The sequence below is a fragment of the Homo sapiens genome, chromosome 7, assembly GCF_000001405.40.
Source record: "Homo sapiens chromosome 7, GRCh38.p14 Primary Assembly".
NCBI lineage: Eukaryota > Metazoa > Chordata > Mammalia > Primates > Hominidae > Homo > Homo sapiens.
Genome location: NC_000007.14, coordinates 2,038,337 through 2,055,803, shown reverse-complemented (window position 1 = coordinate 2,055,803; position 17,467 = coordinate 2,038,337). Strand labels below are relative to the sequence as shown.

The following is a 17,467-nucleotide window of genomic DNA, read 5'->3' as shown; positions in this document are numbered from 1 at the left end:
TTTTGCCATATTGGTCAGGCTGGTCTCGAACTCCTGACCTCAAGTGATCCACCCACCTCAGCCTCCCAAAGTGCTGGGATTACAGCTGTGAGCCACTGTGCCTGGTCCTAGATTTTTTTTTTTTTTTTTTTTTTGAGACAGGGTCTCTCTGTGTCACCCAGGCTGGAGTACAGTAGTGTGGTCTCGGCTCACTGCAGCCTCGACATCGCAGGCTCCGGTGATTCTCCTGCCTCAGCCTCCCGAGTAGCTGGGACTTCAGGTGCCACCACCGTGCCCATCTAATTCTTTTGTGTTTTTGTAGAGATCGTGGAAATCTGAGTGTGACTTGGTAGCTCTGGGGTGCAGCCTGCGGTCCCCATGTCTCACCGGTTCCCTGGTGGCGCTCCTGTGCTGCTCCGGGCCAGTTCTGTCAGGGGTGGCAGAGGCCTGGATCGTGCCCTACGATGCGGGCCACAGGGGCCGGGTCACACAGCTGATGTGGATGCTGCTGACTGGCCCTAGGCCTGGCTCACCCCCAGCTCCCTCTGAAGACCACTGCCTACCTGCTGTCCTCACTGTCTGCCTCCGAGAGGACACACGTCCTGGCGTGTGCTCATTCACTCCCTGCTTTCTGTCAGGGTTTGTGGCGTGCCTCTGCCTGGTGCTGTCGTGGCACGCACCGCCTCGCTGTGCTGCCTGCCTAGTGCCTGGAGGGAGGCTTGGCCCCGCTTCCTCTGTCTCTGCTGCCCCCGCCCTTTGTGACAAGCTCTGCACTGTGTACGTGAACACAGGACAGATGGAGTTCGGGCCCTGCCGTCGTCCCTGAGTCCCGGCCCCACCGCTCGGCTCCTCCTGCTACTGTGACCCATGCAACCCATCTTGTCTCCTGGGCTTTAGCCTCTGGGGATGTCCAAGGAGCAGCCCTGAGTACCGCATGTGTTCCCCGCTCTCCCATCACTGCGAGGGCACGGCCCAGCCGAGCGCAGCTCAAGTTCAGCTTCAGACCTTGCTTTGTTCATACTTAAAGCACATCCCTCCACGTACACCTGGATCGGTGCAAAGCCTGCAGGAGGGGCCCTGAGACGCTGGCCAGCCCGGCTTCCAGGGTCGTGTTTGCTCTGCTCAGTGAGAGGGCCTCTTCCCTCCACAGATAAGCAGGGTTCTCTCGGCTTTGGAATTTAATTTCCAGGTGTTAATATATCGCCCTTTCCCATTACCTTTCTAGACTGACATTTCTATTACATCCATTCAGGAAAGAATGTCCACTTTGTTATGGGACAAAGCCATTTGCACAGTTATTAGAAAGCCAACCTTGTCACAGACACTGCTGCACTCTCCCTCCGAGAGGGAGCTGGACCTGGCTGTGGCAGAAAAAAATTCCAGGGAGAAAAGCAATTTTAGGAAATACGGTGAAATCAAAACAATGCATTTTACCCGTCTCCAGTGTGAAGATGATGAAGGTTGGGTTGTGGGAGCGTGGACCGCCTCCACCAGCCCGAGCCCTCCACGTGCGCCCGACCGCCGTCTCTGCCTCAGGTGCGTGGAGTTTGGAGGCTGCGTTACACTGGATTCAGGTCACCCATCTTTACTCTTGGCTCTTTGAAAAGACCACAGTCCTGTCCCCACCCGCCCATGGGTGGGACTTTCTGGACAGTTCCAGGTGAGGCTGTGGAACTCCTGGCCCTTTCAGGGAGATTTGAGGAGATGGCCACAGCACTGTGTTGGGGGAGGTGGGCTGGGAGCAGCAGTGCTCGTGGGCTCTGGCCCTGGTGGGAGTGCCCTGTCTGCGGGCACCCGGGTGCAGCCCTGACCCCTCCCGCCCTGCCTCCCTCTGCAGAAGGGTGCTGGTGGCAGGTGTGTCATCAGAAACCCCGATGAGGGCATTTCTGGATGGTGCTGCTGAGATAAGGCTGTCTCCTCGGGTCTCCGTGTTGAGGGTGGCTAGAATCGGGTGCCCCTGGAGCACTGTGGAAGCCAGGTCTACTTTCTTTTTTGAGGAGTCATGGCCTGCGTCCACTTAATGGTGGCAAATCACACTTGGAGAGCTCGGTCACAGGAGCCTACTGAAACCTGCAGCCCAGAATGCAGGGCCTGGGTCACAGGCTCCCTGGCTTCACCCAGGGGCTGTCCCTGGCCCTGTACCCTGTTGGCCTGGGGCACCCCCATAACCCGTGTCCCCAGGCCCTGGCTGGAACGTGCTGTGCGGGGAAGATGGGCCCCACCTCTGCAGCCTCCTCTGCTTCCCCGTTGCTTTCCTGCCGCCCGCCAGGGCCTTGGGGCCTTCACACAGCTTCTCTACTTCCCGGAACCCAGATCATCCCCGGCGTCCGGCTCATAGCATTGAGGCAGGCCCTTTTCTCCCTTGTTCACCGGCGGCTGGCACAGTTCCTTGCATACAGCAGGCTCTGAGTAAATGCCTGGTGAATATTGGACTCCTTCACCTACAGGAGGTGCTGAGGCCTTTGGAGTGGCCAGGGAGCAGCTCTCCTGCCTCTGCCTCACCTGCCCTGTGCTCTGCCCCCGCCCGGAGGACTCTTGGTCCCAGCCTCACCGTCTGCATGGGCCTCCGCGGCCCCCAAACTCACCGGTTTTCAGGAAGGGCCTGCTACCAGGTAGCAGATCCCGAGGCTTCTGCTTCTGATGCCTGAGCTAATGTCAGCAATGTGGAAGAGGGTGTTACTTGCTTTCAACTTTCCCAACAACCAAAGTCGCAAGACGTGTAGCTGTCAGTGGCAGAGCAGGAGGGTAGGCAGTGGCTGGGAGCAGGTGCCAGGGCAGGGACGGCTCGGCCTTCAGATGCAGGCACTGGAGGCGGCACCCACCCGTTCCCTCCTCAGGCTGGTGGAGGAGCCTCCGCTGTCCCGGGACTTGGGGCAGCTCTCCCTTCTGGATTTCCTCCTCCCACATGTCCTGCTGGGGACACATGGCTTCCTATCTCCCCATGGCCCCGGAGGTCCAGCGCCTCCCTCCCCCATGCTCCAGGCTGGGGCCCCAGCTCCCTCCCGGTTCCTCTGTCTGTTCCGGGCAGCAGTCTGTGGCGCCAGGGCCATGCCCATGCCAGCTGCCGTAGCTGTGTCCCAGCTGTTTGCTCCAGGTTTATTTTGATGGTGTACCCCTTTATAAAAACTGTGGAATTTGCACACTGATACGTGCATATTTGTTTAAAAAGGATAGGTATGACCTGCGGCCAATAATGAACACACCCATTTATTTGTAAGATATAAGGACTTATAAACGTAAGTAGGGTTTCCACTGTATACCTAGGCCCCAGGGAGCTGTCAGGTGCCCTCCCTGGGCACCGTGCCCGGGCCCCAGTGAGTGTCCAGCCCCCTCCCTGCCTGCTGTGCCTGGGCCCTAGTGAGCTGTCCGGCGCCCTCCCTGCCTGCTGTGCCTGGGCCCTAGTGAGCTGTCCGGCGCCCTCCTGGGTGCTGTTGCTTGCTGTCTGTTGGGCATTCTGTCTGTGTGGTCTTCCTGAGGCTGTTACCAACTGTGGTGGCGGCAGGCCTGGGGCTCCTACTACGCCGCTGCCTGTGCTCTGTTGCTCACATGAAGGGGCCAGGGAAGCCTGTTGGCATATGGAGTCATGCCATGGCTGGCTGTGGCGGAGCTGTGGCTGTGCGCGTGGCGAGGACGATAGGGTTCTGCCCTTGTCCGTGGTCACCCTGCTCCTGCTCTCGCTTCTCTGAGGCCAGCCCCTCCTCTCTGATGTGTGCGGAGCGTGGGTCTTGGCCTGCCGGGGGCTCCTTCGTGGAATGCAGGGGGTGCACAGGTGTTGACTCTGCATGAATGGTTGTCTTTCCGCCTGGCTGTTTCCCTGCCTGACGCCCCTGTAAACATCCATTCCCAACACGCTTCCCAGAGGACGCTTGCCCTTGGAGTACTCCTAACAAAAGACTTCCCAGTGAAATCAGTTTCTGGCACCCCATGTGGTATAGCCTGACACGGCACCTGCTGCTCAGCTTGTCCATGGCTCTGAGGAGCCCTCAGGGGCCCCAGGCAGCTGGTGGGGGATGGGGTTGGGGGGTGGACAGCAAGGTGACCTGGCGGGCGCAGGGCAGCTGGTGGGGGTGGTGGGGGGTGGAAAGCAAGGTGACCCAGTAGGCACAGCGCAGCTGGTGGGGGGTTGGGGGAGGTAGGGGACAGCGAGGTGACCCGGCAGGCGCAGGGCAGCTGGTGGGGGGGTGGGGGAGGTGGGGGACAGCAAGGTGACCCGGCGGATGCAGGGAAGGCCCAGTCTTCATGTGCGGTTTCAATGTCTCGTTCCTGGGCTTTTCTGCATTAAGTGTGAGTTTCTAACATACCACGTTGAAACGTCTTGGATCTTGCCTGCTGAGCCACGTGGCTCTTCCTGAAGGACAAGGTCAGCGCCCCCCTCGCCACCACTTCATCCAGATCCCAGGAGCCCCTTCTGTCCTGTAGGCCAAGGCTCCACAGCACCACGTGGGTTATGGACGAGAAACCTGGAGTGTCCTGCTAGGAGAGAGGCTGTGGAATTCCCAGTCCCCCTCAGCTTTGGAGGTTTATACCAGAGAGACCGAGGCTTAGAGAGGAGCCCAGGGAGGCTCCTCCAGTGCCCAGGCCAGGCATCATCCAGCTGGCACAGGTGGCTTTAGCCCAGCCTCGGGGGGACACAAGCAGGGCCTGCAGGGTGTCTGGGAAGGGCTGGAGGGACCAGGCCCGGAACCTTGTCCTGCCTACCCAGGCTTTGGCCTGACATTGTCCTTGTTTGTGCTTTAAAATCCCCTATCCTGTTTGGTAGAGAAACATGCTCTCTTTAAACTCAGTTTCGAAGAAATCCAAATCTTTGAATAACCTTGATCTTGAAAGGAAAGGAAGTTAGCTGCAGGTGAAAATTGATGGTCATGCTCAAAGGCATGGTTCCCTGCCAAGGAAGCCTCTTGAGTCTTTCTACTAAAAATAGCTGCAGCATCCTGGTGGTGGTGTCTGAACCCTCTCTAGGCCCCTCCTGGAGACATTCAGAGATGTTAAAGGTGACAGCCAGCCTCACCTGGCCGTTCCGCACAGGTGTGTTTGCTCCTGGCCTGTGAGGCACAGGTGGGTGGGCCTGCTGAGGACTGAGCCGCCCTCGGGGGTACTGGGCTGCTCCCTCCGCAGCCTCTGCCCCTTCAGTTGTCCTTGGTGTCACGGCACACCCAAGAGCCTTGTAAGTTCCCTGCACCACAGTCTGGGTGGGTGCCTGGGTCCCTGTGTCCATGGTCCTGGGAGAGGTCCCTGGCCTCAGTCAGAAGGTGTGAAGTGTCTGGACTTTCTCCAGGCCGGTGATAGGCCACTGTTGGCTTGTGGTCTCCATGGTTCTGTGGGTGCTTCAACGGAGCTGCCAGAAAGGTCAAGCCACAGCCTGACACCAGCCAGAGTGGAGGCGGCCCAGGAACCCCCTGGCTCACCACCCTCAGCCTGGTGCTTCCGTCTGCCCGTGTGGGTGTGGACATGGGTCTGAGGCACTGGCTAGGGGATTCCCTGCTTCCAGCAGGCGCGTGAGGTTCCATCCTGGTCTCTGGTTTCTGGTCTGGCCTCATACCTGGCTTAGCTCTCGTAGGAGTGCAACAGGTGGAAGGGGCGGTGATGCCCGCAGATGCTGGGTGAGGTGCCCCGTGAACGTGTGGTCTGGTGCCCGCAGACGCTGGGTGAGGTGCCCCGTGAACGTGTGGTCTGGTGCCCGCAGACGCTGGGTGAGGTGCCCCATGAACGTGTGGTCTGGTGCCCGCAGACGCTGGGTGAGGTGCCCCGTGAACGTGTGGTCTGGTGCCCGCAGACGCTGGGTGAGGTGCCCCGTGAACGTGTGGTCTGGTGTCCGCAGACGCTGGGTGAGGTGCCCTGTGAACGTGTGGTCTGGTGCCCGCAGACGTTGGGTGAGGTTCCTTGTGAACGTGTGGTCTGGTGTCCGCAGATGTTGGGTGAGGTGCCCTGTGAACGTGTGGTCTGGTGCCTGCAGACGTTGGGTGAGGTGCCCTGTGAACGTGTGGTCTGGTGCCCGCAGATGGTGCCAGCAGATGTTGGATGAGGTGCCCTGTGAACCTGTGGTCTGGTGCCTGCAGACATTGGATGAGGTGCCCTGGGAATTACAGTGCTCGATAGTCCTCCTGGACACTGGTGCTGATGAAGCGAGTCTGGCCACCCACGCCAGGCAGTGCCCAGTGCCCCTTGGGTGGCTCCTGCCCTCCAGCAAGACATGGGGATGCTGCTGGACCCAGGTGTCTGTGAGGTCCAGGCACAGATCTTGCTTCTGCAGGAGGCCCCTGGGCGGACTAGGTGAGTCCTTCCTCCTACCGCCTCTTTGAAAATCTGTGTGTGTTTAAACTAAATTTCTTGAGTGCCATCAGAAGGCCCGTGAGCTGGTGAGCTGCCCCCGAGCCTTTTGCCACCCATGGTGGGCATGAGCCACCTACTGAGTCGGCTCCGAGTCAGCAGAGGCCATGGAGTGGGGGCCCCCACTGTGCAGGGAGAGGGTCTGACCCTGGGCGGGGCACCGGGAAGGGAGGTGGAGGCCTGAGGCCAGCCCTGCTGGAATTCCTCTCTTCTAGGGGGAGGAAGCCTAGGAGCTGGAATCAGAAAACCTGTTAGAACCTGAGCTCTGTCACTCTCTCACTTGTGCCTGGCGCCAGCTCCCTTTCCCTCTCTTTGCCTTTGCTTCCTCTCTGGAAGAATGAAGCATGCACGCCTCACCCCATCTGCACGGGGAGCCGATTCACAGATTACATGAGGGAATGCTTTGAAAATATTTTTAAATTGTAATGTTCAAATATATGTGTGAGGTAGTTCATCATCAACTCACTCAACAAACATATGGTTAGTTCTATTCTAAGGTGATGTGTGTTCCTAAAAGTCACCCTGCTACACAAAATCACATTAAAAATAAGATGGGACCCTGATGAAAATGGCAGCATGGTTGACGCGGTCAGTGGCTGGACACAGGCAAGTGTGACAATCGGCACAGCTCTTCGCCTCGAGAAGGCCTGGCGCTGGCTTGGGGAAGTGGGAGTGGTGGCTTGTGAGTCACTGTGGAGTGGGGAGAGCACCTGAAGCTGGAGGGGTGTGGCACAGGGGGCTCAGCCAGGCTCGGGAGGCTCCCATCACAGCTCCGTTCAGCTGAGTGCGGTTTTCTGCATTCGTCTTGGAGGAGGTTCTTCACAGAGGGGCGGAGGGGGACTTTTTGGCCATCACTCAACATCCTATGGGACAGCCCCTTCCTGGCTGACCCACCTGCCTGCCCTGTGCCAGGCCTTATGCAGTGTGGTTGATGCTTATTACCATTCATCAAATTTATTTCCTGACAAATCCTATGTTAAATACCTGGCATGGGACCTGCAGTGAGTGGGCATTCGATGTATAGCGGTCACTGCTGGCATTCGTCAGAGTAACTTCTCATTTCATTAACATCCCTCTAATCATCTCACTTAAAACTCACTTGGAGAATTCTGAGCTCAGATTTGGAAATCCCGTGTTTGTGCAACAGGAATTTGTCGTTGGATGAGATGAAGGAACTTGCCTGGGTGAACAGGCAGGATTCGCAGCCCAGGTAGCTGCTCATTCTCCGAGTCCCTCTACACCTACCCCGCTGCCCGACTAGGGTGCTGGAGCATGGTGTCTGAGAGCACGCGTGTGCGTCAGTGTGCACATGCGTGCACCCGGGTGTTCATGAACACACCCGTGTCGGTGCTCAGTGTGCATGCATGCACACATGAGCATTACTGTGTGCGTGTCTGTGCTGCATGAGCTCTGTGTAGGAGACGTGTGTGCATATCTGTGTTGAGTGCTGTGTATGTGTGTGTCCATACGTGTGTACTTGTGTGCGCATGTATGTTGTGCTGTGTGAGTTCTGTGTGCACATGTGATCATGTGAGTGTGCACGTGTGCTTTGTGAGCTGTGCATGCACATCTGTGTGAACTGTGCATTGAGCATGAGTGTGCATGTATCTGTACTGGTGAGCTGTGTGCACGTGAGTGCACGTGTGTGATTGTGCATGTGTCTGTGGAGTCAGCTCTCTGCATATGTGAGTGCACGTGTGTGAGTGTGCATGTGTCTGCAGAGGCAGCTCTCTGTATGCATGTGAGTGTGCATGTCTGTGCTGTGTGAGCTCTGTGTGTGCATGTGTCTGAGCATGCACATGTGTGAGTGCTGTGTGCGCACATGTGTGTGCATCTGTGCTTACCATTCTGGAACACTGGTTCTTTTATGCATTTTGGCTTCTTTTCCCACGAGACCCTCATGGAACATTAAGCCCAGCAGACAAGGCCAGCCCCAACCATTGTGATAGTTATTAAACAGCAATAAAGCAGGATCTGTATTTACAGACCCAGAGTGTGCTCAGACTGGGAGGTATTAAACATCATCCATCATCAAATGGAAAACAGTCAGATGCAGGGAGTGTAGAATGGAGTTAATATTCTTTTGGTTAACTTCACCCATAAAGAGCTAAACTGCCCCCAATAAAACACCAAGGGGAGGAAGGGAGGTTCTTCCAGACGGAAGCAATCATCGGCACGGTCTGCAGACAGGCCCCCAGGGTTTCCTCGTGCCGGTGGGTTTTCTGCAGCTTGTTACGCAGCTGCGGCTCAGAGCAAGCGGTGTCTCAGGGTCCCTTTCCACAGTTCTCATTGCCTGCTTTGCCTTAGGTCAGCTCATCAGCAGCCCTGGGGAGCTGGGGTGAACGGAGGAAAGACACTGACTTGTAGAACCTGAGAATCTGGGAAGGGAGGGCCTTAGCCGAAGACTGTTTGCCCAGGAGGGTGGCACGCAGTAAACAGTTCAACCCAGGAGTTCAACCCGGGAGCTGGCATTGGGGCATGGATGTGCGCGCTGGTGGCCATTCATTACTGATCCTCCAGTTTCCTTTGTCGTCTGTGAGTGGGTGCGCTCAGCCCAGGGGGTGTTGTGTGCGCAGCGTGTGGTGCAGAGGTAGCACCTGGGACAGGGGGCCGGGCACTGTGCGTGTGGGCACAGGGAGCGCTGCTCCTCCTCCTTAGACCTGAGGCTCCTGTCTGGGCAAGGTCTAGCCCTCCACCTAGGAGCTTACGGAATCTTCAGTGGGGACAGATGGTCTGGAAAGGACTCACCTCTTTTCCCACCCTTGGTTGAATGTGGCCCCTTGGGCACAGGCGGGCAGCGCTCACCCCTTTCCTACACTAAGACGTCCTCACGGCTTAGTGTAGGGCAGGCGGGTGAGGCGGGGTTTGTGTCGCTTCTGATCTGGAAGGGGTTTAGCAGCTGAGGAGATGATCGCCACGCAGAGTTCCGTCTCCAGAAAAATAAGAGGATTTGCACAGTTCTTGAACTTCACCCTTCCAAAGTTTTCACCTCTTGTAGACTAGAAGTTTTAAGTGAGCTTCTGTGTGTCGAAATCATTTCATGGGCAGTGCCCCAGCCGGAGCCTGTCTGGAGGGGAGGGTTGGGTGGGCACGGGCGCCGGGCCTGGGAGGAGGAGGACAACATGGGTTTCCTAGCTCGCTGGACGGCCCTGAGGTTGTGGGGGCCTTTGGTGGCTGAAAGGGGTCTTGTATTTCTGTGCACATTGAAAGGCGATCTTATTTGCCTGCGCTGCCGTCCAGCTGAGGACAGGGACATAGGGTGCCTGTGAGTGCAGGCCTGGAAAGGGATGGGACTCCCCTCTGTAGGGAGGGCGGGGCTTCAGTCCACCTGGGGCGTGGGGCCTGCGCCACCACCCGCATCCCAGGAGAGGCACTGATTGCAGGGCTCGGCCTGGGGCTTACATGGGACCCTCCTTGACTCCCTAGAGGCAGCCGAGGTGGCCACTGCAGCACTCAGCTGGTCTTCCCCAGGAAGTCCTTCCCTTACAGGGCCTCCACTGCCGCCTCTGTCATGGGCAGGCCCTCAGGGAGCAGGGCTGTGGCGGCCTGTGGTGCAGGGGACGTGTGCCATGTCTCCTAAAGATGATGGCTCAGCTCCATGGGGGGCCCTCGGCAGAACGTTTGGATTTAAGGACTACTTGGGGCTCACCATGTGCTCCGAGGCTTAGGGAAGGCCTGGGACGGGCCCTGAAGTGCTGTCTGGCTGAGGCTGGGCTCCTCAGGTGAGAAATTGGCTCCCATGTCCCGCTCCCCTCCCCCACCCCACTCTCCTTCCTTCAAGGAATCCTGTTAGACTTTTCACTTTGCTCCACGGCCTCCAAATCCCACTAAGCGACTGTCGCTTTTCCAGGGCATCGTCAGGTGCTGTACTAAGCTTTAATAAAGGGCTTTATCCACAGCTTCAGAAAAGTCTCTAAATAAATTAGATCCACTGGTTAGCCTCCAACGGTGATTTTTATTAACCTCCAGTTAAAGAAATATTGCTGGTTACAGAAGCACAATTTATTTCTGTGTAAGCCAGGCTGGTGTGACCCTGCGGGCTCCCGAGAGGGATAGTGCTATGTACACGCAGAGTGCTGGGCTGGCCATGAGAGGCACCTGAGAGGGCACCCGGCAGCCTGAGGGCTGGGAGTCACTCTCACAGGGACACAGAGACTCTCACAGGGACATGGGGGACTCTCATAGGGACGTGGGGTATCTCACGGGGACACAGGGATACGAGGACTCTCACAGGGATACGGGGGCTCTCACAGGGATACAGGGGACTCTTACAGGGATTCACAGCCACTGAGACACGGGCTGGTGCTCCTGGCCTGGAGCAGAGAGGGGTGTGGAGGCCGGGTGGGAGGCCGGAGCCTTTCATGTCCTTTCTGGCCCCTGGTGGCAGCAGCTCCCTTGCTGAATGGCTTCACCCTGGGAGGTGATCAGAGGCCGGGGCTTGCCGTCAGGGCGCCCTGGCTCAGATCGTGCCTCTGCGGCCGTGTGGCTTGGGCGTGTGGCCCCTGTCAGAGCCTCTGCTTCCTCTGTGAAGTGCGGAGAATGGTTGCTGCTGCTCATCAGAGTGGGGAGGTGACAGGCCTGGCCCGGGGCTCGGGTTTTGTTCATGCTGTTGCCTCCCCTGGGCTCCCCTGTCTACACCACTGGCACAGGAGCTGAGAGGGTGTCCACGCCCCGGGGGACTACGCCATACTGATGGCCTCCATTTCTTGGGGTCTGTCTCACTGAGCTGGGACTCCAGTTCCAGTTCTTGTCATCCTCACTGAATCTCACAAAGCTGAGCGGGAAACACGTGGGCTGTGCTGAGTCGCCCTCGCTGTACAGGAAGAGAAACCGAGGCTGGAGCAGTGGAGAGGCTTGTGTGGTCGATCGCCTGGGGACTTCATGTGTACTCAGGACCCAGACCTCCCGGCCGCACCCCCGTGCTGGTTCTGTGCCCTGCTGAACCATTTGGGAAATTGTGTTATCATCTCACACATGCTGCGGGCTCCTCTGGGATTCACTGCTGCTGTTTCTAAAGCACTGTTCCCAGTGTGTTCACAGCGTCCCCACCTTCTTCCACGTGCGCCGGGCAGCTTCTCTTTGGCCTCTCACACCTGAGGTGCTTTGTGGCAGGAGCGTCCTCTCAGGAGCCTGGGTGCGTGAGTTCAAATCCTGGTCCCAGGTGCTGGCTGTGTGGAACCCAGCCGAAGTCATTCGTCTGTGTCTCAGTTTCGTTGCTGGAGAGAGCGGAGATTGTCCCAGCGTGTCCTCACAGTGTTGTTGGCGGACTGAACAAGTTGGGAGGAATGAGCAAGAGTGACCCTTGGATCAGGACCTGTAGTAGCTGCCTCTGTCCTGTGAGCATTCGCTATGATTTTTATTCCAGACCGTTGGCTGCTCCCCTTCCTGCGGCGCATTGTGGCCGCCAGCTCTAGGCAGCTCGTCCTCCCATGCTGCTGTCTCCCCTCCTCTCTCCATCAGGCCTTTGCTGTGGTTGCTGGAGCATTGCTGCCGCCGTCCATTGCGTGTGCTCTCTTGACGGGACGGGCACCCATCTGTGCTTGAGTCACGTCCGAGCCCGCGGCCGCCACCCACACCCTGTTCCTGCACGGTGAGGTCTGCCACGTTCCAGGGGCAGGCTTTGCCCGGCCCTCCCTGGCCCTGTTCAGTAGCCCTGGGCCCAGCTTATGTCTATGTTGGGCAGTGCGGGGTGTTGGGAGGAGAGAATGGGCAGAGGCCCCTGCCTCAGGGCTCCCTGGGGCCTGGCAGGAGGCCTGGGGTGGTGCTGCCCCCACTCTCGAGAAAAAGGCTGGCACTCCGCAGGGCTGTTTGTGGTGGGAAACAGGCGCTCAGCCAGTCTGGATCCCCAGCCCCCCCAGGCCCTCCGCGTGCCTCCACTCTGCAGGGCACCCGTAGCCTCCAGAGAACAGTCATGACCCAGCGTCCTTGTAGGCACGGTACCCGGGCATCACGTTCCCAAGCCCGCCCATTCCGGCCACCTCCAGCCCACAGGATGTGCCAGGTCGTGCCGAGGGCCTCCTAAGGAGCGTGGGATTGTCAGAACAGATTGCAGCATGGATTTTTGGAGGATTAAAGTTAATTAAAGAGCTCTTCCTTGCTTTCACGTCCTTGTGTCTGCCAGCTATTTACATGCTAATGCTGCCCTGACACCGAGGATGAGGGGTGTCTGCCGCACTGCACTGCGCTGTCAGGAGGGGAACCACAGGAGAAGGAGGGGAGCGCAGTGCTATGTATTACCCTGTGCCCCTCCGATGGGACAGGGGCGTGGATGCAGACACATTCGAAAGTCAGTGGCAGGGTCGTTTTCTTGTATTTCCTGAAGTGTCTTCGTGGCTGACTTGGATGTTCTCCATTCAGGCCCCCCCTTACACTGCATAATTGAATGCATTCTGCGTGGAAATATCTTCGCATAAGCAATTTTATAAATAAAGAGATTGTGGAGAGTAGGGTCTGAAGTTTCTAAGTGCAGGGCTGTGTTTTCCAGAAGCCCATCCTTCTTGGCGAAGGTGACTTTCAGCTTCACGGGGTCGGCCTGTGGCAGCGTCCTCTGGCCCTCAGCAGCACTGCCTTGATGTGGACGTGGACGTGGATGTGGACGTGGACGTGGACGTGGACATGTGTGTGCGTGAAGGCTCCTCAGGTGTATTAGTCCGTTCTTGTGTCTCTATAAAGGAATCCCTGAGGCTGGGTCATTCTGCGGACTGTACAGGAAGCACAGCGCCGGCATCTGCTTCTGCTGAGGTACCAGGAAGCTTCTGATCATGGCAGAAGGCAAGGAGCAGGCACGTCACATGGCAAGAGCAGGAGCAAGAGAGACACTTGAGGTTCCAGAATCTTTCCAACAACACTCCTCACTCGGGATGGCTCTGGGCCATTCGTGAGGGATCCGCCCTCATAATCCAACACCTCCCACCAGGCCCCACCTCCACCTTTGGGAAACATTTTTCAACCTGAGATTTGGAGGGAGCAGACATCCAAACCATATCGCCAAGTATTTGTTGAATGAATAAATGAACGTTGATACCATCATTGGGTGTATTTTAGCTGCAGATTCTAAACGCCAGGGTTCTGGGGTGGCTGGAGTGTGAAAAGGTCGGTGGTGGCAGTTAGGAATGCCGTGTGCATGCCCTTGTGCCTGTGTGCCCATGTGTGTGTCTGTGCGTGTGTCCGTGTGCCTGTGTGTCTGTGCACATCTGCGTGTGTCTGTGTCCATGTGCGCGTGTGTGTGCATGTGCGTATGTGTGTCTGTGTACGTGTGCGCATGCGCTTGTGTGTGCACGTCTGTGTGCGTGTCTGTGTCCATGTGCGTGTGTGTGTGCATGTGTATGTGTGTACATATGTGTGTGCATGTCTGCATGTCCGTGTGCATGTGTGTCTGCGTGTGTGTGTGCACATGTGCGTGTGTGGATGTGTGTGTACATATGTGTGTACGTGCATCTGTGTGTCTGTGTGCATGTCCGTGTGCGTGTGTGTGTCTAAGTCTTTCTTGGATGGTCCCTTGCTGCTTTCCCAGGGAGCTAGTTCTCTCTGGCCTTGGCTGGGTAGGATGCAGGCTCTGCTCGCCTCTCTGGAACAGAGCAGGAGGTGCTGCGGGGAGCTGGGTGCAGCGTGGCCAGGCCAAAGCAGGCACCTGAGTGAGTTTTGTGTTCAGTATCCCTCCCCCCTGTGGGCTGCCATGGTGAGAGTTGACATTTTTGCAGCGTGGAAGTGAGACTGTCTTGTGGAGTTTTCTACTCCTCTCGGGCAAAGAGAGGGTTAGTGACCTGACACCTGATGGTATGCCTTCAAAGCTCTTCCTCATCTGGTTTCATTCAACTCATGTCAAGCGTCAGTCGTGACCCATGTCAAAGGTATATGCAGCTGGATGTAAGTTAAAGTGGAGAAAACAGATTTTATTCAGTCGCTGCTGACAGCAGGGGACAGAGCTGAGCTCCTTTCAGGTTTGTGCAGATGTGACTGGGCATTTTAAAGGGAGTGTGGGGAACAGGTGCCCAAATGGAGTCAGGGAAGTGAAAAATTACAGAAAGCAGCAAGAGGGTTGGGTAGCATGAATGTGATGAGCTGACTCTGCTACGAGCTGGCAGGTTGGGGCTGGCAGGGATGGGCTCCTGCTCCCCTTCCCCAGCCCCAGACTAGGAGACAGGCCTGTTTTCCTGATGATTACGTTCCAAAGGGTTGGCTCTCGGTCCTTGAGAAGGACATCCCAGAGCTGTAGGAGGTGCGGGCATGTGTGTCTCCAAGGGACTGAGGAAGGATTCACAGTTGTCAGCTCGGATTTTCTGAAGTAACTGTGCTAGGAAGGGGAGGCAGGGCAGGGGCCTGTTGTCAGGTGTGGTAGAACCAAGGGCAAATCCTCCTGACAGCCTTGAGCTTTTTCCGACAGGAACTCTGGGGGTGCTGTAGCTCAGGCTTCAGGAAGTCCTGCTGTGGTGGGCGGTGTCTCAGTGCAGGGGGTAGGATGGAGCCCTTGTGTGCTGAGAGCTCTTCTGTGGTTCTCAGCAGCCAACAGTGAGAGACACACGTGATTGTGAAGCCAGGCTTCTCAGGGCAGCCCCTATGACGGCACACATCACGTAGAAGGTTTAAATCAGCATTGGCTGAATGAGCGATTCCAAAGAGCAGCCAACACCTCTGTTTGCAGGAAGATGGAGTTGACGCATTTTCTTTGATCCTTCTGTTAAGTATAATGAAGAGTCCTGGACATTATCTATGGAATGAGCATAGTGAGCCTCTGCGGGATGGAGGCCAGGGGCCTTGGGCCTCGGAACAGCCTGGCGGGGAGCTGCCCAGGTTTCCTCGTCTGCCTCTTTCATCCCAGACTTGGAGCTAAGGAAGCACATCCCCAAAATGCCGACGCTCCCCAGCAAAGGACTAGGTAAATAGCAGCTGGGAAGACAGAAAATGTAGTTAATGCCTAGCAATAATGGAAAGAAAAACTTAATGGATATAAGGTCAGCAGCAGAATGGAGGCGACAGGAGCGCGTTCGTGAACTCAGAGATGGACCGATAGGAACTGCCCATCTGCCCATTCTGAACAGCAGAGAGAATACGATGGAATAAAATGAGCAAAGTTCCCGACACCGATGAGACCTGGGAATACGATGGAATAAAAGGAACAAAGTCCCCGGTGCCGGTGGGGCCACAACACAAGATCCAGCATTCCAGTTGTGGGGATCTGGGAGGGTCCGGAGGAGCTGAGATGGAGCCGCAGAGGCAGCAGGCAGCGTCTTCAAAACTAATCCAGTGTCTTTGCTGTTCTGTGGGTCTACTCAGGTTGTCTGTGTTTCTCTTGAGTCAGTTTTGGTAGCTTTTGTCTTTTCAGGAGTTTGTTCATTTCACCTCCGTTATTAATTTTCGGCATGCAGCTGTTCGTAGTATTCCTTTACAGCCTTTATCTCTGGAAGGTCAGCTAGTGTCTCTTTCACTCCCAACTGCAGTGATCTGCACCCTCTTTCTTGTTTCCTTGGTTGGCCCAGCTAAAAGTTTCTGTCAATTCTGTTGCTATTCTCACAGAACCAACTTTAGGCTTGACCGATTTCTTTTATTGTTTTTGTGTTCTTTATTTCACTTATTTTTGCTCTAATATTTATTATTTCGTTCCTTCTGCTTGGGTCAACTGAAGTTGGACTCCATCAAGATTAAAATTTTTGCCCCGTGAAAGTTCCTGTGAAGAGATGAAAAGACAAGGTAGAGATAAAGAGGAACTATTTGCAAGCTTCATATCTGACAAAGACGATTTGTTATCTGTAATAGATGAGAAAACTCTCAAAACTCAGTAATAGAAAAACAAAACAGACACACCTAATTAGCAAACAAGCAAAAGATATAGACAGACCTTTTTACCAAATAACATATACAGATGACAGTTAAGCCCGTGGAAAGATGTTCAACATCATTAGTCATGAGGGAAATGCAAGTTAAAACCACAGTGAGGTGTCACTGCACACCTGTCAAAGTTCAGAAACGGACACCATCAGATGCCAGTCAGTGTGTAGAGAAACTCCATCTCTGGTGCCTTGCTGATGGGAGAGTGACAGGGTGCAGCCACCCTGGAACCAGCTCGAGGGTTTCTTAAAAACTGCACTGCAGCTCCCATATGACCAGCAGTCGCATTCCTGGGTGTCGATTCCAGTGAAATAAAACCGAGGTTCGGACAAAACCCGACAGAGGACTCTTCCTAGCAGCTTTTGCATAATGGCCAAAAACTGGAAAGAATTCTGATGTCCTTCGGTGGTGATGGTTAAACAACGGTAGTGCCTCCGTCACACAGAGTAATACTCAGGACTAAGAAGGAATTCACTGTGGATAAACATACTTGAATAGATCTCCAGGGAGTTTAGCGGAGCGAAGAGCCCAGTCCCTGAAGGTCGTGTGCTGCATGATCCCATTTGCATGACGTTATTAAAAGGCTGAAGTGATAGACAGCCTGTGGATGGCTGCCGTGAGTTACGGAGACGCACAGGAGGAATCGTGGCTGTGAACGGACAACCCGAGGGGTTTTTGTGGTGATGAAATGTGCTGTATCTTGACTGTATCATTGTCGGCATACGGGTTGTGATACTGTGCTGTAGTTGTGCCAGATGTTGCTATTGGGAGGAACTGGATGAATGCTACTTGTGATCTCTGTATTATTTTTTATAGCTCCAAGTGAATCTGTAATTGGATCAAAATAAAAAGCTTAGATCAGGCACAGTAGCTGATGCATGGAATCCCAGCACTTTGAGAGGTCGAGGTGGGCGGATCACTTGAGGTCAGCAGGAGTTCGAGACCATCCTGGCCAGCATGGTGAAACCCTGTCTCTACTAAAAATACAAAAAATTAGTGAGGCGTGGTGGCACACACTTGTAATCCCGGCTACTTGGGAGGCTGAGGCAGGAGAATTGCTTGAACCCAGAAGGCGGAGGTTGCAGTGAGCCAAGATTGTGCCACCGTGCTCCAGCCTGGGTGACAGAATGAGTGAGACTGTGTCTCAAAAAAAAAAAAAAAAAAAAAAAAAAAAGTCATCAGCTTCATTATCTCCTAACAGCATCAGCTTGTCCTCTGAAACTTTGAAGGCAGGGATCGACTTCTCCTCTGTAACTGTAAAAGCCCTAGACGGCATCTTCCAGCAGAAGGCTGTTTTATGTGCACTGCAAATCTGGTGTTTAGTGTGGCCACCTTC

At 55.6% G+C, this 17,467-nt stretch overlaps 1 protein-coding gene across 5 annotated transcripts in view, besides 2 other annotated features; it reads left to right on the top strand.

The window, feature by feature from the left end:
• Positions 1-17,467, top strand: part of MAD1L1 (mitotic arrest deficient 1 like 1) — a 417,151-nt gene that overhangs the window by 177,142 nt on the left and 222,542 nt on the right. The gene's annotated exons all lie outside the window — the stretch shown is intronic.
• Positions 161-676: an enhancer, noted in NCBI's record as "H3K27ac-H3K4me1 hESC enhancer chr7:2094763-2095278 (GRCh37/hg19 assembly coordinates)". NCBI's record gives its function as "activates a minimal SCP1, AML or CMV promoter by ChIP-STARR-seq in naive H9 embryonic stem cells {active_cell/tissue: H9 hESC(naive)}" and the evidence as "EXISTENCE:reporter gene assay evidence [ECO:0000049][PMID:30033119]".
• Positions 5,735-6,338: an enhancer, noted in NCBI's record as "H3K27ac-H3K4me1 hESC enhancer chr7:2089101-2089704 (GRCh37/hg19 assembly coordinates)". NCBI's record gives its function as "activates a minimal SCP1, AML or CMV promoter by ChIP-STARR-seq in naive H9 embryonic stem cells {active_cell/tissue: H9 hESC(naive)}" and the evidence as "EXISTENCE:reporter gene assay evidence [ECO:0000049][PMID:30033119]".